This window comes from Homo sapiens, chromosome 5 (assembly GCF_000001405.40).
Source record: "Homo sapiens chromosome 5, GRCh38.p14 Primary Assembly".
NCBI lineage: Eukaryota > Metazoa > Chordata > Mammalia > Primates > Hominidae > Homo > Homo sapiens.
The window spans coordinates 96,069,210-96,091,413 of NC_000005.10; the positions used below are offsets into that span (position 1 = coordinate 96,069,210).

A 22,204-nucleotide genomic window follows, 5' to 3' on the forward strand; every position below is an offset into this window, starting at 1 on the left:
TATATACATATATATGTGTGTATGTATATAAAATATGTTTATATTACACATATATACACAAATATATGTGTATTTTAAGAATTTAAGATTTATTTTAAGAAACTGGCTTATGTGATTGTGGAGACTGGAAAGCATGTGTGTATGTATGTGTGTGTGTGTGTGTGTGTGTGTGTCTATGTGTGTGTGTGTGTGTGTGTGTCTATGTGTGTGTGTATGTGCATACATGCACATGCCCCAATAGTGTGTGTGTATCTATCTATCCATCTATCTTTTTTTAATTAAAAAATTTTAAGAGACAGGGTCTTGCTCTGTCACCCAGGCTGGAGTGCAGTGGTGCAATCGTAGCTCACGGTAGCCTTCACTCCTGGGCTCAAGTGGTCCTTCCATCTCAGCCTTCAGAATAACTAGCCCTACAGGTGTGTGCCACTACATCTGGGTAATTAAACTTTTTTTTTTTTTTTTTTTTTTTTTGTAGAGAGGGAGGTCTTGCTGTGTTGCCTAGGCTGGTCTTGAACTCCAGGCCTAAAGCAATCCTCCTGCCTTCACTTCCCAATGCGCTGGGATTACAGGCATGAGCCACCACACCCAGCCTATCTATCTTGATTTGTTTTAAGGATTTGGCTCATGTAGATGCGGAGATTGGCAAATCCAAATTATGCAAGCCAGGCATGATGGTTCACACCTGTAATCTCAGCACTTTGGGTGGGCGATGTGAGAGGATCGCTTGAAGCCAGGAGTTTGAGACTAGCTTGGCCAACAAAGCAAGACCCTGTCTCTACAAAAATAAACCAGGGAAGTGTTGAGGTTGAAGCTTAAGTCTGAAGACAGTCTGGAGACATAATTCTCTCTTCCTTAGGGAAGGTCAGCCTTTATTCTCAGCCTTTATTCTATTAAAGCCCTCAAATGATTGGATGAGGCCCAACAACATTATGAGGGTAATATACTTCACTTAAAGTTTCATGATTTAAATATTAATCTCACTATCCCTAGTCAAGTAATTATTCCTTCCTCTCCATTTCCAAAGCCCTTTGTTTATAACTGCTATGGAACCTACCACAAGGCTCATAACTTGATTTATAGTTGTTTATTTATGTAAGCATCTTCCTAACTAGACATTTATTAATCAAGGACAAGGGCCCATATTATTTTCCTTTGTCAGAGTCACTATCTGTGATGACTGATTTTATGTATTAATTTGGGTAGGCTATAGTACCCACATATTGAAGGGACAGGATTCACAGTATGAGAAATTCTTCAAACACAGAATGCACGTTCACAAGATGCTGGGTGGCCACAAACATGCCTACGTTAGTGAGTGAAGAAGAGGGAGGAATCAAAACTGATTCCAAGTTTTCTCATTTAGCAGCTGGGTGATTGGCGATGTTGTGACCAAGGCAAGGAAAATGGGAGGACTAGATCTGTGGGACAGAAAGACAAAATTGAGTTTTTGTTTTTGAATACGTTGAATTGAAGATATCTGCAGCACATCAGTGTGGAGACAGTTGTACAATAGACAGAAATTTGGGTTCTAGGCTTAAAATAGCAGATAGGACTAGAGATATAAATTTCGTAACCACCCTATAGATGTGGCAATAGACAAGGCTAAACAGGAAGTATGTAACCCTAGGAACATCTGCCCCAGAAGGGCAGGTGGAAGAGGAGGAATGCTCGCCCAAGGACTAAGGAGAACAAGTTGGGGAGGTATAAGGAGAATCCAAAGACTGAGAAATCTACAGTGTCATGGAAATCAAAAGTGCAAAGGAAGAAGGTGGTGAGCAAGAAAGTGAAATGTTACAGAGAGATGAGTAGAGTGAGGACTAAAGGGCACTGGATTCCCCAGGCAGGAGGTCATTGGTGGTATGCAGAGGTGCTTTGCCTTAGGCCAAGATCACGACCCATTTAGGGTAGACAGTCACATGCTGTGGGCCTCTCCTCAGCCCTCACCAATATACAACATTCATCCTTTTGTACCCACCCTTCCCTCAGTCCCCGCAGTGTCCCTTCTCAAGCCCACTTCACCCTATATTTCCTAACAACCCTTCCCCAAACCAGCACCCCATTTGAGTCTCAGGTCCCAGCTCTATGCTTTCCCAGACACACCATTCCCCCAGCTACTACCACCATTACCATCTCTCTGTCTCCAGTCCCTTTCAGTTCTCTTTGGTATTTTTCTGATTGTAGAATCACTTGTCTAGCACTCGTATATCAGTCCCCAGGCATGAACCAGTTTCTCTGCTTCCCTTTTTTCCATCCCTATTCCTAGGCATCCTTCCTACCCACCAATGGCACTGTCATTTTCCCCAAAGTCCTACCAATACTTCATGGACCAGCCCTCACCTGTACCCAAAGTTTTCCTGGCACCAGGCCTATTGTTCTTAATCTTTGGAGACTTTCCTGGCCAGCCTAGACCTACTTTTCTTTGCTTGTCTCTCACCTTTCTGGTTTTTCCTCTCACTTGGGATGCTGTTTTACTCCCCGGATTATGGTCCTTCCTTACTTTTGTATCTATCCTTTTTCCTTATCTGCTAGTTTTTTTAAAAAAAGTTTTAAAAAGCCATTATCTTTCAGAGATACATAATGAAATATTTATTGATGCAGTGCTATGACTGGGACTTAATTCAAAATATTTGGAAGTGGGGGCAAGTGAGTTGATATAAATGAAGAAATGATTGGTCATAAGTTGAAGCTGGTCATGGGTCATTGTTGAAGCTGACCGGTACATGGGTACATAATTTATATTACTCTCTCTACTTTTATATATGTTTAACATTTTCCAATGAAAGGTTTTAATGCAAATTAAATTGATACAAAGAAAACTAATATTGATTAGAAAAGAAAACTTAAATTGATAAAAAATATAATAATACAGATGTGGCAAAAGTCATGGAGGTAATATTTGAATGCCTGGTGTTGGGAAAACACTAAAACAATAGAAAAGGAGCTCAGAATGGGTGGGGTATGGAGCATTATACCTTGAGGAGGGAGGAAAGAAGCCTTGGTAGTTATATTGTTAAGGCCTGACCCTCGTGGTTGTGGAGTCCTTATACTCTTCAGGGAGTAAGGGGTTGAAGAACAGGTAGGACTTGAAAGAACAATTTTGAAACAGCCACTGTGTGGAGGAGGAAGGAAGCCAGCCAAAGGTTAGCAGCAGCTACGGCTGGAGAACATGAATTTGCAGGAGAGCTACTCACCAGTGTCTTCATGACTTAAATGTCTTCTAAGTGACTCTAGGAGCTTTTACAGGTGCTTCAGCCTTTCTGCAAAAAATGAGAAGCATTTTCCTTAAATCAACTAAGATGTAAACTGCCCATGAAACCCATTTGTCTCTTTAAACTCTGTTTTACATATTGAGTTTCAGGGAGGATTTTCATAGAAAAAAAGTCCACTGTTAAAATAATTTGACGAGATCAGCAATATCCCTGGCATAGCTGTGTACTTTCTGGTGTGTTACGCATTTGCTGCTACTTTTGTTGTGGGTGTTAAGTAGGACACACTGTAGCATGAGGGATATTGAGTCAATCTCAAAGGAAAGAGAATGTTGAGAGTGGCTCTTGCTGTTTGGAGTGGTTTATAGGGCTTTATCTCTCTCTTTGGTTAAGGCAGTGGTTTTCAACCTGTGCGTGTGCACACATATAATTTCAAGAGGTTCAAAGACAAGCGATTCTAGTCAAAATCCCAAATCCAAGCCCTGTGGCAAGAATGCTTCATGGGAACATGACCACTTGTGTTTAGCAAACTGAGGGCTTATTTGTGGCTTTCAGAAATGATGAGCAGTGTTGTCATTGAGATTGTTTATTCGAGATTGTTTATTCCACAGGCCTCTAATGTTAAAATTTGACTTTCCTATCTTAGTCCAGGAGCACTTACCAAAAGTTTTTCATTTAAGTCTGACTCAAAGTCTGTTATCCCTTTGATGCCAGATAATTGCTTTACATACACAACACTGGTAACAGTATGACATGTCCACATAATACAAGTTGTGTTTTATTTTATATTTTTAAAGAAAATTCTGTGTGTACAGACTTATGTGGTGAATCAGTAGCCGTGGTGGCATGTTTAAGAGGGAGAAGAGAGGTGACTGACATGTATTGAGCACTTAGGATACAGTAGGTGCTCTGTAACTTATTTAGTCCACATAGGATTGTCATTAGGCTGATATCACTTTTTCTATTTGAAAATGCAATAACTTTTGCAAATAGAAAATAATCAGAAAGTCTAATACGTTTGCCCAGAAGACCAGCTAATGAGTGGCTGAGCTGGCATTGAAACCCAGGTAGATCTGTCCTCTAAAGCAGCAGTCCCCCACCTTTTTGGCACCAAGGACCAGTTTCCTTGAAGACAATTTTTCCACGGATGGATGGCAGTGGGGTGGGGATGGCTTTGGGATGAAACTTCCATCTCAGGTCATCAGACATTAGTTAGATTCTCATAAGGAGCCCACAACCTGGATCCCTTGCATGCACAGTTCACAATAGGGTTTCTCCTCCTGTGAGAATCTAATGCTGCCATTGATCTGACAGAAGGTGGAGCTCAGGCGGTAATGCTCATTCACCTGCTGCCCACCTTCTGCTGTGCGACCCTGTTCCTAACAGCTCATGGACCACTACCGGTTCTTTGCCTAGGGGTTGAGGACCCCTGTTCTAAAGTTCTTTCTTGATAGAGAACACTGGGTATTTATTGATTTTTAGCCACCTTGTATTCATATCTCTCTTCTTTAGAGAATTATTCTCCCATCATCCTCCCACCCCTGCCCCCATTCTATGGTGTGCTGTGAAACTATTCATCAAGGTTCCCGGCTGCATGACCCAAGCTAGGCTAATCACATTCTCTGTGAGTTGTTTGAATTTTATATCGAGAGACTCACAGACTGAAAAATTTGCTGGAACTAATTCTTTCTAGTGAACACCATGGAAGAGCTAACTGTTGGCACCTGCTACCTCGCTTCCCTGAACTACCCTATTGCTTCTCTAGACTTCTCTTTGTTTCTGTAAGTGATTCAATATCCTTTAACAAGCCCATTTCTTTTGTAGGTTAACTGATGTTTTGGCCTGGATAATGTTCCTTCAAAATACGTATGTTGAAGCTCTAACACCCCCAGTGTGGTGGTATTTGGAGTTAGGGACCTTGGGAGGTAATTAGGTTTAGATGAGGTCACGAGGGTTGGACCTTCATAATGGAATTAGTGCCCTTACAAGAAGAGACACCTGAGAACTTGTTGCTGTCTCTTTGCCATGTGAAGACACAGTGAGAAGGTGGCCACTACAAGCTGAAGAGAGCCCTCACCAGAAACCAATTATGCTTGTACCCTTATCTCAGACTTCCAGCTGATGAGAAAATAAATTGCTGTTGTTTAAGGCACCACAGTCTTTGGTATTTTGTGATGGCAGCCTGGGCTGGCTAGTACAGGTGGGAAGTTTCCACTGCTTCCCACAAAAGAATCTGACTATGCAAAATGACGAATGAGAAGGCATATTTTACCCTGTAGTACCTTGGCTCTGAGATGGGGAAGAAAGAAGGACAAAGGTTAAACCAGCAAATTCAGTGACTTGCTATCATCTCTAGACAGGAAAAGTTTGGTGAATAAGGAAGAGGTTGAAATTATTTCATAGTGTGTGATTTTGGAATTATTTATGGGTTATACTTATTCTTACTCTTCTGTATCTTGTTTGCATATTCCTCATCCCTAACTTAATCATGATTTAGCTCTTACATGGTGAATAAACCAGTGGAAACTTAGAAAATTAATTGGCCCAGGATACCTTTTTCTTTAGGCTGCAGAGCTGGCAAAATGAAAGCATATCCCCAGGAAGTGGTCTGCCAGGAAGAAAAGCTGCACTGAAATGGGCATCTAAATTTTTCCTTCCTACTTGTTTGCTTTGGTCTTAAAGAATGTTTGAAATTCCTACTGCCGGAATTTGTTCATTGGCTCACAGTCACCTCTTCTAATATATGTTCGTCTTTTATTTTTAGAGCTTTGTTTTGATCTATATGTCTCTTAGTTCTCAGAGAAATGCATCCCATGAAATGATTCAGTTCTGAGAAATCAAGCCAGGTAAAGATGAAATGTAAGGCTTTACCAACTCTATAATACTTTTCATCTGCTTTTAAAGATATACACCCTCCCACTAGGATTTCTTGGCATCATCTACATGTTTTCCTATTAGTTACGGACATTTTGAGCTTTCATGGTATCCTAGTTATCACCCCTCTTGTCTTACAGATGAGGAAATAGATGTCTAGAGTGGTAACTGGCTTATCAATAATTATGTAATTAATTTGTGACTAAGTAGGGACTCGAAACCAATTTTTCAGATTTCCAGTTCAGCTTTCGTTCTACTTCCACAAACTGCCAATTAATTGACCAAGCCAAGAGAATAAAAGCAATTCTCATTCATCCCAAACTAAAGAAAAATATGGAAAAGAAGAAATAGAGTTTTCAAAGTATTGAGTTTCATTGAGCAAAAGGGGAAGATTTGGAGCCATGTTGAGGAAAGAGGCAGAGAGGTAATGCTTTCTGGAAGGATCATTTTTAAGCTTACTGCCAGATTGCTTTATTCCCTGGGCATGTGCCTGCATGTTTATTTCATGGGTTAAATGATCCCTTTAAGGTGAATGAAACACTGTCTCATTTCCTTGCAAACCAAAATTTAAATAAAATAATTTTTTCCCTTGGGAGTTTGTCACATTAAATCCACTAGGTTTAAGCATGTGTGTTGAAAACAGGCTAAGGGGAACTGGAACTTCATCTTATTTCTCTAATTGGTGTCTGTGCCTTCTTGCCTTTGGAGAAGTGAACGTTGTCTGGGCATCCTACTCATGTTTCAGCTCTAGAGTGAATGTCCAGGGTCTGCTTGATAACTCTTTTTCTTCCTGGACAACCACGCCCTAGGTCAAGATGGTCTGTTTTCACTATGGGCCAGCTGTTCCAGGATTATTTTTTCAGGGTTGGAAACCACAATTTTGGACTCTGAGCCTGAGAATAAAAGTGTAAAGGAAAAGGTCAAATAACATTTTGTGGGATTATCTGCATTCTATTTGAAAACCAAGGAAGTCTATCTTCAGTGTTTTTTAGTACCCCTACTCTAAACATATTGCTCTAAACAACATATGATGAAAAGTCATAAATATTTAGTAAAAACACACATTCCTCTTCTTTCCTCTAGGCAACAAAAGCAAATATCGAAAAGGAGTAGAACAGTTGGAATTTATAATCTTCCTTCTGAACTAACAGGTACTTCTTCATAACCCTAAGGGGCTCGGGTTCTGGGCCTGGACTCCCAAATCCTTCTGCGTGTAAATAAAAAACAATGCTTAAAGCAAATATTTTAGTGAGGAAAACAACTTTGGAGCCATCCTTACCATAATGGGCTGCTGGAGTTGAGTAATTAGTAGCTATAGCATTTAGGGCAGGGTTTTAGGAAGTCAGTCTCTGTAGTTGAAAGCATTTGCCACGTCATAAGAATTTGTGTCATAAGAATATTCAATGAATTTTTGGAAACAAACAAAAGGAAAGTAATAACCATCAAGCTCAATGATTGAAATTGGTTGTATTTTGTGAAGTTGTTCATTTTTTTCTCCTTGTATTTAGATTATATTTACAAAGCTTTGAGTCCTAAATTCCCATTATTTTTAATAAATATCAATAATAATGTAAGCAAACATTTAAAAGTTAATTAGTAATTGTATCTTCCCAATATGATATATATTTTTGCATAATAGTTTCTAATTCTTTTCATGCATATAGATTTTATAATATTTATAATAAAAATATTTTATATTATGCTTTTTTATGTAACATTCTGTCTTGACATTAAAATTATCCATGTTTTTAGTCTTATTAACAATTGCTTCTTTAAATGACTGATTAATATTTCATAGTATCTATCCTAATTTGCTGACTGCTACTGGCAACTTAGCCTTCAACTTTATTAAAGTATATTTTAGAAATGTAAATGTATATCATAAATAACATTATATTGACATCTTAACATATATACCTTTTTATTTTATTATTCAGTTGAATTACTTTTTCATGAATAAATTCTCAGAAATGTTATAATGGTTAAGATTACGAACATCTTTAGGGTTCTTGCTATTTATTGACAAATACTTTTTAAAGTGTATATAGCATGACTGTATAACTTTCTCTGCAATTTTATGTATATTTGGTATTATCATTTATTTGCTTTAATTTGCATTTCTTTGATTATTAGGCAGATACACATTTTTCTTTGTGGATTTTATTGTTTTTGCTAGTTGTATTTATTTGCATGTGAATTCTGTGGTATCGTCTGGATATTTGATCCACCCAAACTTCATGTTGAAATTGTGGGGCTGCTTAGGTCATGGGGCCAGATCCCTCATGGATAGATTAATGCCCTTCCTGATGAGGGGAGGGAGTTTGTAAGTTCTCCCTCTATTAGTTCCTGAAATAACTGGTTGTTAAAGGGTCTGACACCTTCCTTCTCCCTTTCCTGCTTCCTTTCTTGCCATGTGATACTGCACACACTGGCTCCCCTTCTCCTTCTACCATGAGTGGAAGCAGCTTGATGCCCTCACCACAAGCAGATGCTGGTGCCATGCTTCCTGTACAGCCTGCAGAACCATAAGCCAAATAAACCCCTTTTCTTTATAAATTATCCAGCCTCAACATAAGATGAACTAACTTGTTTAATCTGTTTTACTATTTCTGTAAGGAACAGTACACTTTGACTACTGGATAGCTGGATTACCTATGCTATAGTAATCTTCAGACCAGGAACATTAGAACATTTTTTTCTTAGGTGAGATTTATCTGAAACCATCTCACTACATTTTACATTTAGCAGATGTAACTATTAAATTGGTATAATAAAGAAATTATCCTGCTTCTTGCTGTGCCCTCACATGGCAGAGGGAGAGAGAGCACAAGCTCTCTTGTCTCTTATGATAAAGGTACTAATTCCATCGTGACAGCCCGACCCTCATGTCCTTATCTAAACCTAAATACCTTCCAGAGGCCCCATCTCTAGACACCATGACATTGGGGTTTCAACATATGAATTTTGGGAGAGACACAAACATTTAGTTCTTAACACTCCCCTTCTCCCTCAGGCCACTTCAGTCTACCCAAGTACACAGCCTCCTAATTAAGGGGTACTTGGTGATTCTTAAAGACAGGGGTAAATTTTCATGAACATCTGATCAAGCTTTTTTTTTTTTTAGACGGAGTTTTGCTTTTGTTGCCCAGCCTGGAGTGCAATGGTGCAATCTCAGCTCACTGCAACCTCCGCCTCCCAGGTTCAAGCAATTCTCCTGACTCAGCCTCCCAAGTAGCTGGGATTACAGGAATGTGCCACCACGCCCGGCTAATTTTTTCATATTTTAGTAGAGATGGGGTTTCACCATCTTGATCAAGCTTTTAAAAATTGAATTAATAGGTATAGAACACAATGAAACAAACCAAGAAAGAACAAGTGGAAAGAAAGTAGTTAGAGCACTTAATGTCAAGTTAAATCAATCACTAAGCATAATTTGTCTTGTGGGTATTGATGATGGCATGTGGTATGTGTTGAGATTTAAGAATGTATTTCACAGTGACATGGATGGAGCTGGAAACCATTATCCTTAACAAACTAACACAGGAACAGAAAACCAAGTATTGCATGTTCTCACTTATAAGTGGGAGCTGAATGATGAGAACATAGGGACACATAGAGGGAAACAACACATACTGGGGCCTTTTGGAGGGTGCTGGGTGGGAGGCAGGAGAGGATCAGGAAGTATAATTAATGGGTTCTAGACTTAATACCTGGGTGATGAAATAATCTGTACAACAAAACCCCATGATACAAGTTTACCTATGTAACAAACCTGTATATGTACCCATGCACTTAAAGTTAAAAAAAAACCTATTTAAATGATAGGAAGGCTGTTCTTTACATCTTACAACTCACACATTAACCAAAGAGGAAGGTCCCATTACTGCAGGGATCTTAGCAGTACTGGGACCTACCTCTTTGGTACTTTCCCCTGGGCCCCCTTCATTTCACTCCCTACCCACACTCTTTGTCCTGAGCTCCCACTTACCAAATGGCATCAGGCTTGTTACTCATTTGGCTATTTTCTCTTGTGAGTCAGGAATGATTCAATATCCTGGCAAGGGTTAGGAAGGCTAGTCTTTTTAAAGAGCTCTCTTATAGGTAAATACAAACATGATAACTTGGGTGTTTGAAACCACTTTTAAGTATGTTTTTTACTAATTCTTAAGGTTGAAGAGATATCTTGGGATAAAAAATTGCATTAGTTGACAATTTAAAAAATGTAGTTTGTAAAGTCTGAATAACTCTTATTTGTATATGGTAAAAAGTGTAAATTACAAAAAAGATATACAATGAAAAATGAATTTCCTTCTCATTTCACATCCCTAGTTCTCTCTGTCTCCCCTTCAGAGGCAACCACTACTAATTACTTGCTAGCACCCTTCCACAAACATTCTCTACGTAATCAAACTTCAATATTGTTTATATAGCAACCTTTAAGAATCAATTAGGAACATACTATATACATCTTGGTTATTATTATTTTTAACTTAACCATGTTTTGTTTCTTAGAAATTTTTCTATATCAGCACAAATAGCTTTATCCTATTCTTTTAAATGGCCCTATGATGAGGATATGCCTTAATTTATTAAAGTAGTCCTCTAATAATAGGTATTTAGGTTATTTCTAGTCTTTTAAAAAGCAAACCCCACTGCCTGAAAAGCCTTATATATACATATTCGTGCATTTGTGTGGTTTTGTAAGTATATTTGTAGTATATCTATAGGTTGAATAACAGCATGAAGAGAAATATGATCTTGTAGTGGTTAAAAGCATAATTATTATGGGTTTGACTGCCTGCTACTGGCCTACGACTTATTAGCCATATAACCTAGGACAAGTTACTCAACTTTCTGTACCTCAGTTTTCTTATCTGCAAAATGGGTATAAATAATAGTATATACCTTGAAGAGGTGTTATGGGCATTAAAGGACCTAACAGAAGTACATCATGCTGATATCCACATATAATACATTCTACATAAATTATCTCACTAGGATACTTTCCTGGAAAACAGGACTTTCTCTTTTAAAAATATTAATGCTATCATTGGATGATAACTGTTTTTCTTCTTGAAACTTGACAAAATCTCACTACTAAGCTTATTACAAATACTGATATAATTCATGCTCATTTTGGCTTGAAGGAGATAGTTTGGCAGGGCAAATTGAGAGTAAAGTTCCTGACCATAGGTATAAGTGAAAGTCTGAATTTAGTCTTAATTTGTTTTTGAACATTAGATTAAAGTTCATCATTTTGGACCTCAGTGTCCTTATCTGTTACATGCAGGGATTAGATTAGATGATCCCTAAAGTATCTTCCAGTTCCAACAATTATGTCTGTGCTTATTCCATTCTCAAAATGAGACCTGATTTATGTGGCTTAGACAATTGTGGGAGATAAGTTTAAATCCTGACTCATCTAACTGTGACTTTGCACATGTTGTTCCCTGTGTGTGGAATGACCTTCCCCCTTGTCTGAGTGTTGAGCTGAGCTCTGATTCACCCTAGGAGACTCAACTCTGGCTGGGCCCTCTCTTTAAAACCTTCCCCAAGTGCCCCAGCTGAGCTAGGCACAATTTCCCTTTGAGCTCTCTTAGCCCCTGTGTTATGTGGTAGGATAAGAGTGTGAAGCCTTAACTGATAACTTTTATATGTTATCAGCTTTGGTATTGTATTTTCAATGCACAAAGAAGAGATGGCACTTTCTTTTCTTGGATTGTAAGTTTCAAAAGTCTGGGTCCTATAAGGAATCAAAAGGCCTATGTGCCTAGATAAAATGATGACTGGGATAAATCACCCCCAAGCTTCCATGCTCCAGAGGACAGAAAGTTCTTCAGACAGAAGTAAGCAAAGGTTGAGTTGACACTGTGGATTCCTGACAAAGGAGTGAGACTCTCTGCCTTGTCCTTTCCCCTAGCTCAGCACAGGGAGAAGGAGAGTGACAGAGTTTGCCAAGAGGTATGTGAAATCTGAACACAGAGGGAATCCAGGTTCTCTTTCCTGTGTAGGGCCCAGGGAGGTAAGAGCCCAGAGTAGAAATGGCTGCACAGGGCATCCAGGTGGAGAGACCTGAGGGAACTTGTGAAGTCCCATAGAGCTCAGCATGGCATTGGATCAGAGAACGATATTCTTGTGGTCAGGAGGAGCACGGAAGTGGGAAAGGGAAGAGGATAATCTTGCTGAGTTTCCTGAGGCCCAGTGTGGTGTGAGAGAACAGAATGATCCCATGTACCTTAAAGGGGCAAGGGAGTTTGTTAATAGAGAGCTGGGCCATTCTGTTCAGGGAACATGAACAGAATCAGCAGTAACTTGCCTAGACTGACTACTGAAGACCAGATGGAGGACAACTCAGCAAATAAACAGATGCTCACCCACTCCCAGCCTGCTTCAGAGAGATAGAGGGATCCCAGATCAGCAGATGAAGTCTTTACAGCCTGGAGAAATGGAACTCTTTCTACAGCCTGGAGAAATGGACCTCCATTGTTAAAGTTAAGATACTTTATTAGAATTCTTAAAAATTTAAGTAAAGATGTCTAGCCCTTCTAAAACTTCTCCATTGTAAATGATTTCTTGTTTAAGTCTCTGGATTGCAAGCTCTTTGAGGAAAGGCACAAAGTCTTTATTTATTTATTTATTTTTGAGGCAGAGTCTCGCTCTGTCGCCCAGGCTGGAGTGTAGCGGCGTGATCTCGGCTCACTGCAACCTCTGCCTCCTGGGTTCAGGCGATTCTCCTGCCTCAGCCTCCCAAGTAGCTGGAACTACAGGCGCACGCTACCACACCTGGCTAATTTTTGTATTTTTAGTAGAGACGGGGTTTCACCATGTTGGTTAGGCTGGTCTCAAACTCTTGACCTCATGATCTGCCCGCCTTGGCCTTCCAAAGTGCTGGGATTACAGGTGTGAGCCACCACACCCAGCTCTTATTTTCTTTTTTATTTGTTCCTTTACCTTGCAAGTGCTGACACAGAGGAGGCCTACAGTAAGCTTTTTAAATGAGTAAATGGACATTTATTGGTTGGCTATTGTGTGCCACAACCTATCCTTGGTGCTTTCACAGCCCTATGGACTAGGCATAATTATCTCCATTTTGCAGCTGAGAAAAAGCAGGGCACGAGGAACTCACATAACCCATTCATGAGCAGCAGAAGGCAGATCTCTCATTCATTCACACTCTAGGTCCTCTGACACCAGACTGCCTTGCCAGGTGAAAATGAAGATTTTTCTCTTACTGTCTAAACTATGGAATAAGAAGGAAAATTCATTTCTACTTATTTTAGTAACTTTATATGTGTATCTTGCTTTACTGCTTCCAAAATGAAAAGCAGAGTGTTCTCTGCTCATTTTACTTTTATTATTAGTTATACATTTTTTTTAAAGTACCTAGTACAGTATGATCATGATCCCACAAGTATAATAAAGGTATGGACAAATCTTCTTTATAATGCTGCCTGGATTATTTATAAAAGAAATATATTCTCCATAGGAGGGAGGAAGAGCTTTTTTAAAAAGAAATACATGCTCTCTGTAGAAAAAAATTAAAATCAGAAAAAGGCAAGAAAGAAATTAGAATTTCACTCCCTACAGATACCCACTATTAGCTTTCAGTTATCATTTGCCCTAATTTTAGAAACACTAAAATTCACCCTGATTTTAGAAACATTAAGTTAGAAATATTTAGAAACAATTGGTATCAATACTTTGTCTATGTGCCATTATTTCACTCAGTGTTCTCCATAGCATAGGGTATTTGGCTTTCATGAAACCAAGAGCCATCGGTTTAGATTGTAGCACTTAGTGGGAGAAGAAATTTTTGGAGTTAGGTCTAAACAGGTAAATTGAGATACTCAATATGCAAATTATTGCTTTATATGCTCTTCCAGAAAACTTGTAAAGATTCAAGGGAAGTAAAAATGTTCATATAATGCAGCAAGACTGTTATGACTACAGTAAACTTTAGTTGCCATTTGAAATACCAAAAAGAGAATAAAAATACTCTGAAGCACGGTTTATGATGGTTTAACAATCCTAGAGAGAGGAGGGACATTGTGTTCTGGAGGGATCTGACCACCTGGCCTCAGTGTATCATCCATACCCATAGTCAGGGTTTTATCACTTCAACTGTTGTCTTGAACCAAAGAGAGAGAAGTTAGCAAGTCAGCCATGAGGCAGCAACGTCCTCCCTCCCTTTCCCAGAAGTGGTGACACACTGGGCTAAAACAAGTAGTAAAAGTTTACTGCTAGATTTACATTTCAGGCTTTCTAGAAAATTAACATGTCTATTTTAGGCCAATTAAAGAAGAAAGGCACCTACCACCAGGGCATTAGAATTTTCTCAATGTGAATGGAAACTACTGTAGAATTGTTTTGGCTTGTTTCCATGGTGTTTAAGAAAGTAGGAGGTCTGGAGGGCACCATAAATTGACTTGATGTTTTTAGATTTTTGACATGTGGGGACTAATCTCATTTCCCTGTCAGTGTACCCTGTCAGCTGCTGCAGATGAAAATACGATTAGCCCTTCCCTTTAATTGCCCACGCAATAAACCCATCATCTCAAAACCATGGTGTGGTGGTTCGGGGCACAGACTTGGAGCCAGACTACTTGCATTACTACTTGCATTTGAATCCTGATTCTGCTGTTAACGAGACTTTTGGCAAGCTACTAAAGATGTTGCCTTATGTTTCTATTGCAGGGGTTTTTTAAAATAAGGATTAAATGCGTTAAAATGTGTAAAGCATTTAGAACAATGCCTGGTGCATAGTAAGAACTATACGAGTGTTAAATAAAACATTATAATTAGGCTTCCTATGATTGCTGGTGAACCAGAGGTAAAACAACTGGCCAGGAGTGAGCTAATGACATATGGCTGACTTGGAAATCTTATAATAATAATAATAATAAAGTTCCAATATTGTTATGGCACAGTGGGTGGGTGGTTACAAGAGAAAAAGGAAGGTTAGGGCTGAACACTGCAGGGATCTTGAAACCTGTGGGTTGCTTTAGTAGGCAAGGTATGTTGGGGCTGGCCAGAGGGATGAATGTGGTAAACTGGGTAATTTTAGGAAAAGGATGAATATTCAAAGAGGGATTGGGATTCTTCAGATTGCTTACCTAGATTGTGGAGTGGGTTAGTAGAGATAAAAGGAGCCTGGGGAATAGATTGGAGATATCCAGAGTTACTCCTTCTTGTTAGGCTTTTGGATAAATCAGATCGTATTTTAATCTTCAATTCACTGATTCTATCAGTTACCATTTGTTGGTCGCAGGCACCAGAATCCACTTCTGGCTAATTGGATCAGAGAAATAATTTACTGGAAGTGGGGAAACTTAACCAAAAGAAAGGCAAGGAAAGAGACTTAGACTGGGAAGTAAAGGCCACTGGGAGGCTGGGAAGCAGGGACTGCTGAATGGTCACTTCAGGGCCAGTTAGCCCTGTCCCTCTGCTCAATGTTCATATTCCAGGGAGAGGAATCTGAATGACCTAGCTTGGGTCAGATCTCCAGCCCTTGGCTAGAGGAGGGCAGGGTAAACCTGAATGTACCTGAAGTGGGTGGTCCTCCAAAGCAAAATCAGAGTGCTATTCCCAGAAGAAGGAAGAAAGGAAGCAGAGAGGACAAAAACAACAAATGCCCATGCTCACTACTGTATATGGCTTCAAGCAACCAGTGAGGAAGACAAAGGTATAAAGCGATAGGAAGGCCCTGAATTCTTTGACTTTTAATCTTTCTACCCCATTCCAGCTATCTTCTTCTCTAACCTTGAAGCTAGACACCTGAGCCTGTACTTAACCAGGAAGTATCCTACAGCTCTGATGAAGTCATCTCCTGATTCTAACACAGTCTGATTGAAAGAAAACAACTTAAAACACCATAGATTTTTATCAAAATGATATTTATCTTTCATTAGGTACTTATTGAATGTCTACTGTCTATCAATTAAAAAAAAATAAAACTTATTCTCTTCCTGTCAGAAATTCTACCAGCCAGGGAAGCAAGACTGACACATAAGCAAATAAATTACATGATTACAACACAGTGTGAATAATACTATAATAGAGGAACGAAAATGAACTGCCTGAGGACTCAGTGGAGGTGGCATTTGAACTAGTTCTTGAGAAACAAATGAGCACTTATAATTTTAAATTGAGACATTTATTATAAAAGCAAATTTGTGACCCCAAATTATAAACATTATTTGCACTGCTGTCAGCAGCAATGATTTCATCCACTGGCAGCATACATATTGTTCAGTCTTAGAGGGCTAAGAACTGAGGTTGTAAATAATACCTTGAAAGTCAAAAAGTGAGGAACAAATAAACTGTCACATTCCTAAATTACAACAATTTTTAAACAATGCCCTGTTTGCAATACTCATAGTTTCATGAGCTTAACTAGACGTGAAATGTGCTAGGTCCCTCCAGGACTTCTCAAGCCCATCAGCAGCTGTCACTCATGGGCTTGGGCAGCTTGAAGGTCAGAGATGCTGCTGGATAGGGCAGGGGTCTTGGATCAGCTACCGACTTTTTAGTGTAGTGGCTACTTACATAATTAACATCCATATCTTGTCCAGAACTCATTTACAGTATGTCTTTGTGTTGGCAATGTCTCTGGATTTCAAACTTTTCTAGAAATCATAAAATGAGAGTAAGGAATATAGTGGTATCATCATCCCTCTGTATCTGCAAGGGATTGCTTCCAGGACCTCCCCTGAAAGATTCCAAAATCCATGAATGCTCAAGTCTCTAATACAAAACAGCATAGTATTTATATATGACCTATGTACATTTTTGCTGTATATTTTAAATAATCTGTAGATTGCTTATAATATCTAATACAATGTAAATACTATTTATATTTGTCATACTGTGTTTTTTAACTTATATTTTAAAAATGGTTGTATTATTGGTTTTTATTTTATTTTTTAATCTTTTAGATCTGTAGTTGGATGAATCCCAGGATCAGAACCTGCAAATGGAGGGCCCATTTTAATAAATAACTCAAAATTAGTTTGAATAAGAAGTAGCTCATCACAAAGTAGGATGGTGAAGCCTCAACAATTAGCAGATTATTCTCAATTTGTAACAACATTGTCAGAATTTCTTATAATAAGAGTATGTTTTCCTGTGGCAAATGGATATTTCTAAAGCGTTGGGAAATATTTTTTCTCTTGGTATAAATCTTTACCAGGGTGCATTGCATGTATCTCTATAAACTACCTCAGATCACTTTTTAGACCAAAGTAGGAAAGCAAAGAGGAAATGAATGCATTTTTAAAAGCTCTAAAAATCTATTTAAATAATTGCATTATGAAGTTTGAGTTAATAAAAACTGTCCAAAGCCCTAAAAAATGGTTCCTTTGACACCATTCTTTTGGTCCAGAGAGGCTGTTAGATGTCCTGAGCTTTTTCTCAGCTCTGTTTCTATCTGTCTGTGTAAACCTGGGTAGAATATCAGGATAACCCCGGTGAATTAGTTAGTTGACTTTTGAGATCACTTCTACATGAGATGGTTAGCCCTACCCTTCTAATCTGCCTTCAAATTAGTTATCAATTTATTTCAAGCAGTATCAAGTTACTACTACTTAAAATAAATTAATGAAATATATATCTGTGAGATATTAGTGCAGGCATATTTGGTTGAGGTCTACTTTTTATTTTAGTAAACATTCCTACTACCTGTTTTGGTTAAAACTTCTCTGAAACAAAATATAGTTTAAAGGGCATGCAGACAAAAGAAGCAACTCTAAAAGTTGTTGGTAGACAGGGATAGATCCTAGGTTACCCAGAGATTTCCCACCTGTAGGAACTTAGAACAACTTGCTCAATAGTTACATGATTTGCTTTCATATAACTCTGATATTAGACAGTATTCCGTAAGTGTTGGTGGGGAGAAATCCTCTAGCATAACATTTTGATAGATTCAGTTTATGCATTGGGTTATTTCATCAGAGGTTTCATTTACATTTTTTCCTGTAGTATATAATGGAGTCTATAACATAAGAGAACTAAGAGTGTGTGTGCATTTATTTTTTACACATTCCACCTAAAACTTGAAAAACCAATCTTCTTAAAATTCAAACTTCAGTTTAATTTTTTTCCATTTTTTTAAGATTCTAATCTTTTTCAACTTTCTACTTTTCATAGATTGTTGTTCATTCTTGCTTATGAAACTTTTCCCTATACCAGAAGTGCATAATAGAGGAAAGGCAGTGTCAGTGGAATGGAGGGAGACAGACAAATCACAGAAATCCAAATTGAGCTGAATGACCCCTGGAATACAATATGAAGATGAGTGTTCCAAATTATTTTTTTCTCTGGATGACAGAGTAATAAGAAATCAATCAATCACTCAATCAAACTCAATCAATGAAGATGAAGCAAAGCTCATCTGAGTGGTGATGGATGGTACTTGAGAGTGAATTAGTGACTGATTTGGCGGGATTTCAGAGGAGTAGAGCTAACGATGGCAAATCAGGTTAACTTTTATATATAGCTAACAGGATGTAGGCTGGGCAACAGCAACCTCTACCCAGCAACCTCCAACTGTGAGGCTGACCCAGATGCTGCTTCAGATCAGATGGAGTGAAACAAGTTCATCTGAAATCATTCTTTCAGCCCTGTAATTTTTATAATAACATGTATCAAGCCAGGAAACCTACACTTAAGCATCAGAATGCATCTGCATAGAGGCAAACAACTCCCAACAATGCCTCCATGACAATATGCTGTTGGTTGCTAATTGGGAAAAACACAGGTAATAATTACAAGGCATTCTGCTGCTTGCTGGAAGACACCTAAGGGGTTAAAATACTCAGCTCTATACAGCAACATCCTGGTTTAAAAATCTTTGACAGGTGGTGTTAGTAATGCGTACTTACTTGTTGTTTTAGTTGTGTAATATTTGTGCACACACTCAAAAAATAAAGCCAGGCTACAAGCAATCCATTAATGTGACTGCAACTGGGACCTCATCACTCCCTCCGGAGACAAATTACCCCTCATGTCAGTTAACCCTCGATGCCCATCTAAGCCACTGCTCTTTCTCTATGTCCTCTCCAGGCCATGGCTGCCAGTGTATTCTTTTTCCCAGATCTTGACAATCAACAGCTCAGCAAGGGGAACATTTTATATTTGCATCCTGAAAGGATGGCAGACCCAGGCTTTTAGCAGACCCAAGTAAGGAGAGCTAAGACAATGAGAGAATGTGTGGCGGCAGAATTCTCTCAGCCTGTGAAGCCCAGGATTCCTGCCTGGATCCTACAAGTTGGATTGGACTGCTCCACTGGATGAAGATATTAGTGTTGCAAATCCATCAGGGATTTATTCACTCTAGAAAGTTTTTATATAGTGGAAAATATAATGGAGGATGTTTCATTTTTCTAGAATATCCATTTTCCTTTTGTTTCAGTATATCAGGAAGCACTGCCCGATACTTGTCAGTCTCTCTTTAGTGTTAGGTTTCTGATGTATTGTCCCTCCCCATGATCCTTTTCCCCGAGAAACAGGGACAGATACTGGATTTTGAATGCTCCTGCTTGGGGCAGGCATCCCTTCCTGGATCACAGCCTGGCCTGGCCTTGTTGTGCAGCAGGCTGGTGGGGTTGCTGGGATACCCAGGGGTGACTCTGACAGTGCTCTGGTGGATTGAGGTGATTAGTTACAGCCAACTGCTTGTTTTCAGGGATTTATTCCATTTTCCTACTTTGTCAGCATCATCTAATTGGGGATCAGATGCTTTCAGTCAGCATCCTTTGCAGTGCAAGGAGCTCCAAAAATCTTTTTTTTTTTTTTTTTTTTTTAACTCTGGGAATATGCCCAGGCCTGAATAAATAAATTTCCCCTCTTCGCACTGAAGGAAGTATATGACTTTTAAAGGAGTAGGTGAACACATAGGTGTTTTTCTTTTAAACACAGAATGCAACACTGTTTTGTAACAGTGGAGGAAGTAGGAATGAATATATATTTCGAGGATTATAAACCAGTGCATAGCCTTCTGGAGGCAATTTTGTTATGTTTATCAATATTTAAAATGCACATACTCTTGAGGGAGGAATTTTACTTCTGAGAATGTATCCCAAAAGTATACTAGCATATGTGATCAAGGAAGAATGTACAAGGATATTTATATAGTATTGTTTACAAAGAAAAGGATGGAAAACAATTTAACAAAAGGTCCACTTAATAGAGGATGAGTTAAATAAGTTATCATACATCCATACAATAGATTATTTTAATAATTGTTAAAAGGATAAGGTGGGTCTAAATGTTCCAATATGGAAAATTTCTATGATGTACTAGTTAACAAAGAAGGGGAAGACCAATACTGCCATTTGTGTTTAAAAAGGGCTGTATGTATACATGTGCGTGTTTTTGTTTGTGTATGTGTAGCCTTTCTTGACATACTATTACCAACAGTTGCCTCTGATGAAGGGAATTGGGAAATCAAGAGAGAAGGATTGAAGGAGACTTACTTTTCACTGTATGCTTTTTTATAAAGCTTAAAATGTTTCTCTTGTGCATATAATTATTCTTCAAGTAAATAGGTAACTAAATAAATGATAAGTAAATAGAAGATGTTGATTTTTTATCTTCTCATTCGTATTTCTTCTTATTTCTTGCTTTCCACAGAAAGGATATTCTCTGACTGGGCTTTGGAGTCAGACCTTTAGTTCCTCCCCCACTAATTAGCTGTGTGACACTCTGCAAATTATTTGGTGGTATCCCAGTGTGCTAATCTTATTTTTTTTCCTTCCCCCTGGTAAAAGAGATTAATAGTATCTCAAGAGTTATTGTGAAGGTTAAGTAAGGTCCCTAGCACGATGCCTAGGCCATAATCCTTAATCAAGCCTTGATGAAAGCTAATTCCCTTCCCCTTGCAAGGCTTCAGGTTGTTATGTTGGTGGGATACGGGTCTCTAGTACCTTATGGCAGCCAAAACTTGTTCCTTTGTCCTTCTTGAGAGCATGTCTTCCCCTTGCAGCTGACTGAAGGTTCTATGGCTTACTAAGTTAAACAACAAAAAGAGAGAACAAGGTACCACAAAGCAAATAAACAAAACCTCTACCAGTGTTGTAATTTAAAACAGTCTCTGAGCTGGTGTTAGAGCAGGTGGGGCCATTAGTTCCCACTGAGCTGGCAGCATCCTCCCCAGAGCTCCCCAAGCTAGCTTCACACTTCTTAGTGGCTGTGACCATTAGGCCTCTCTGGGGTCCTCTTAGTTCTGGCAGCTGTTTAGTTCAGGGGGACTAAACAGCCATGGAGCTACCTAGAATCTTTTTCCCCAAGGTCTCCTGGGGCCTTCACTTTCCGGAAGAGGTTGAAAAATTTTTTTAAAAGACTTTTTTATGTTTTGTTTTTAAAACATATATTAAAAATCATGTCTGTGTTGGTGAGAAGAAGAGGGTATTTTTAAAATAAAGTACCTTCTGAGGGAACTTCTGTGGAATGGAGTGTGTGTGTGTGCGTGTGTTTCTTTTGGGAGATCAGCAGAGAACAGGAAGCAACTAAAGTGTTTTGCTTTGGTTCCCCTGTGGCCTCCATCTAGTTGCTGTAGTTGTACACACATACATCAACTTCAGATGCTGCCGAAGCTTGAGGCCATGGCCTCAAGTCCACAGAGGAGGACTGAGTTCTTCTGAGCTCTAGTGAGAGACCAGATGCCCATCCATTGTTCCCAGCTTTTGGAATATGTTCCTGTGTGCAGGTTCCCAGGTGCATTTTGGTGAGGAGAGAGATGCCTGGGGGGAAGGTACATTACAGTAGATTGCACCTGTCTCCATTACTACTTATTGCCGTCTGTTTGTAGTGTAGGGTTGGGGTGGAGGCTGCTGGCTTTGGAGACAGACAGGCCTGGATTTGAAAGCCAGCCTTGCTCATTTTTAGCTGGGTAATCTCAGGCATGTTACTGAATCTCTCTCTTTTTTTTTTTTTTGAGACAGACCCTCGCTCTGTCGCCCAGGCTGGAGTGCAGTGGCACAAGCTTGGCTCACTGCAACCTCTACCTCCCAGGTTCAAGCGATTCTCCTGCCTCAGCCTCCTGAGTAGCTGGGATTACAGTCACGCGCCACCATGCCTGGCTAATTTTTTTGTATTTTTAGTGGAGATGGGGTTTCTCCATGTTAGGC

General features: G+C 39.1%; 1 protein-coding gene, 2 long non-coding RNA genes and 1 other non-coding gene across 16 annotated transcripts in view, besides 3 other annotated features; 3 read left to right on the forward strand and 1 right to left on the reverse strand.

The window, feature by feature from the left end:
* The window catches only part of LOC105379096 (uncharacterized), an 86,202-nt gene extending 82,944 nt beyond the window's left edge, over positions 1 to 3,258 (reverse strand). Inside the window, exon 1 of the long non-coding RNA XR_001742447.2 lies at positions 3,192 to 3,258. This is a non-coding gene — a long non-coding RNA (uncharacterized LOC105379096). The remainder of the gene's footprint in view (positions 1 to 3,191) is intronic.
* The window catches only part of CAST (calpastatin), an 813,255-nt gene that overhangs the window by 107,781 nt on the left and 683,270 nt on the right, over positions 1 to 22,204 (forward strand). The window contains exon 2 of one of the 13 annotated variants that reach the window (NR_186779.1): positions 7,164 to 7,231. The exons of the other annotated variants lie outside the window; for them this stretch is intronic. The gene's annotated coding sequence lies outside the window, so the exon portion shown is untranslated. The remainder of the gene's footprint in view (positions 1 to 7,163; positions 7,232 to 22,204) is intronic. 13 annotated transcript variants of the gene reach the window in all.
* LOC101929710 (uncharacterized) overlaps positions 1 to 22,204 on the forward strand; it is a 669,085-nt gene that overhangs the window by 107,209 nt on the left and 539,672 nt on the right. The gene's annotated exons all lie outside the window — the stretch shown is intronic.
* On the forward strand, positions 9,929 to 10,003 carry MIR583 (microRNA 583). Its single transcript, NR_030309.1, has one exon. It is a non-coding gene; the product is annotated as a microRNA 583 (primary transcript).
* Positions 14,031 to 14,819: an enhancer, noted in NCBI's record as "OCT4-NANOG hESC enhancer chr5:95418944-95419732 (GRCh37/hg19 assembly coordinates)". NCBI's record gives its function as "activates a minimal SCP1, AML or CMV promoter by ChIP-STARR-seq in naive H9 embryonic stem cells {active_cell/tissue: H9 hESC(naive)}" and the evidence as "EXISTENCE:reporter gene assay evidence [ECO:0000049][PMID:30033119]".
* Positions 14,102 to 14,302: a silencer, noted in NCBI's record as "peak5359 fragment used in MPRA reporter construct". NCBI's record gives its function as "represses an SCP1 promoter by STARR-seq MPRAs in K562 erythroleukemia cells {active_cell/tissue: K562}" and the evidence as "EXISTENCE:reporter gene assay evidence [ECO:0000049][PMID:32103011]".
* Positions 20,915 to 21,416: an enhancer, noted in NCBI's record as "NANOG hESC enhancer chr5:95425828-95426329 (GRCh37/hg19 assembly coordinates)". NCBI's record gives its function as "activates a minimal SCP1, AML or CMV promoter by ChIP-STARR-seq in naive and primed H9 embryonic stem cells {active_cell/tissue: H9 hESC(naive and primed)}" and the evidence as "EXISTENCE:reporter gene assay evidence [ECO:0000049][PMID:30033119]".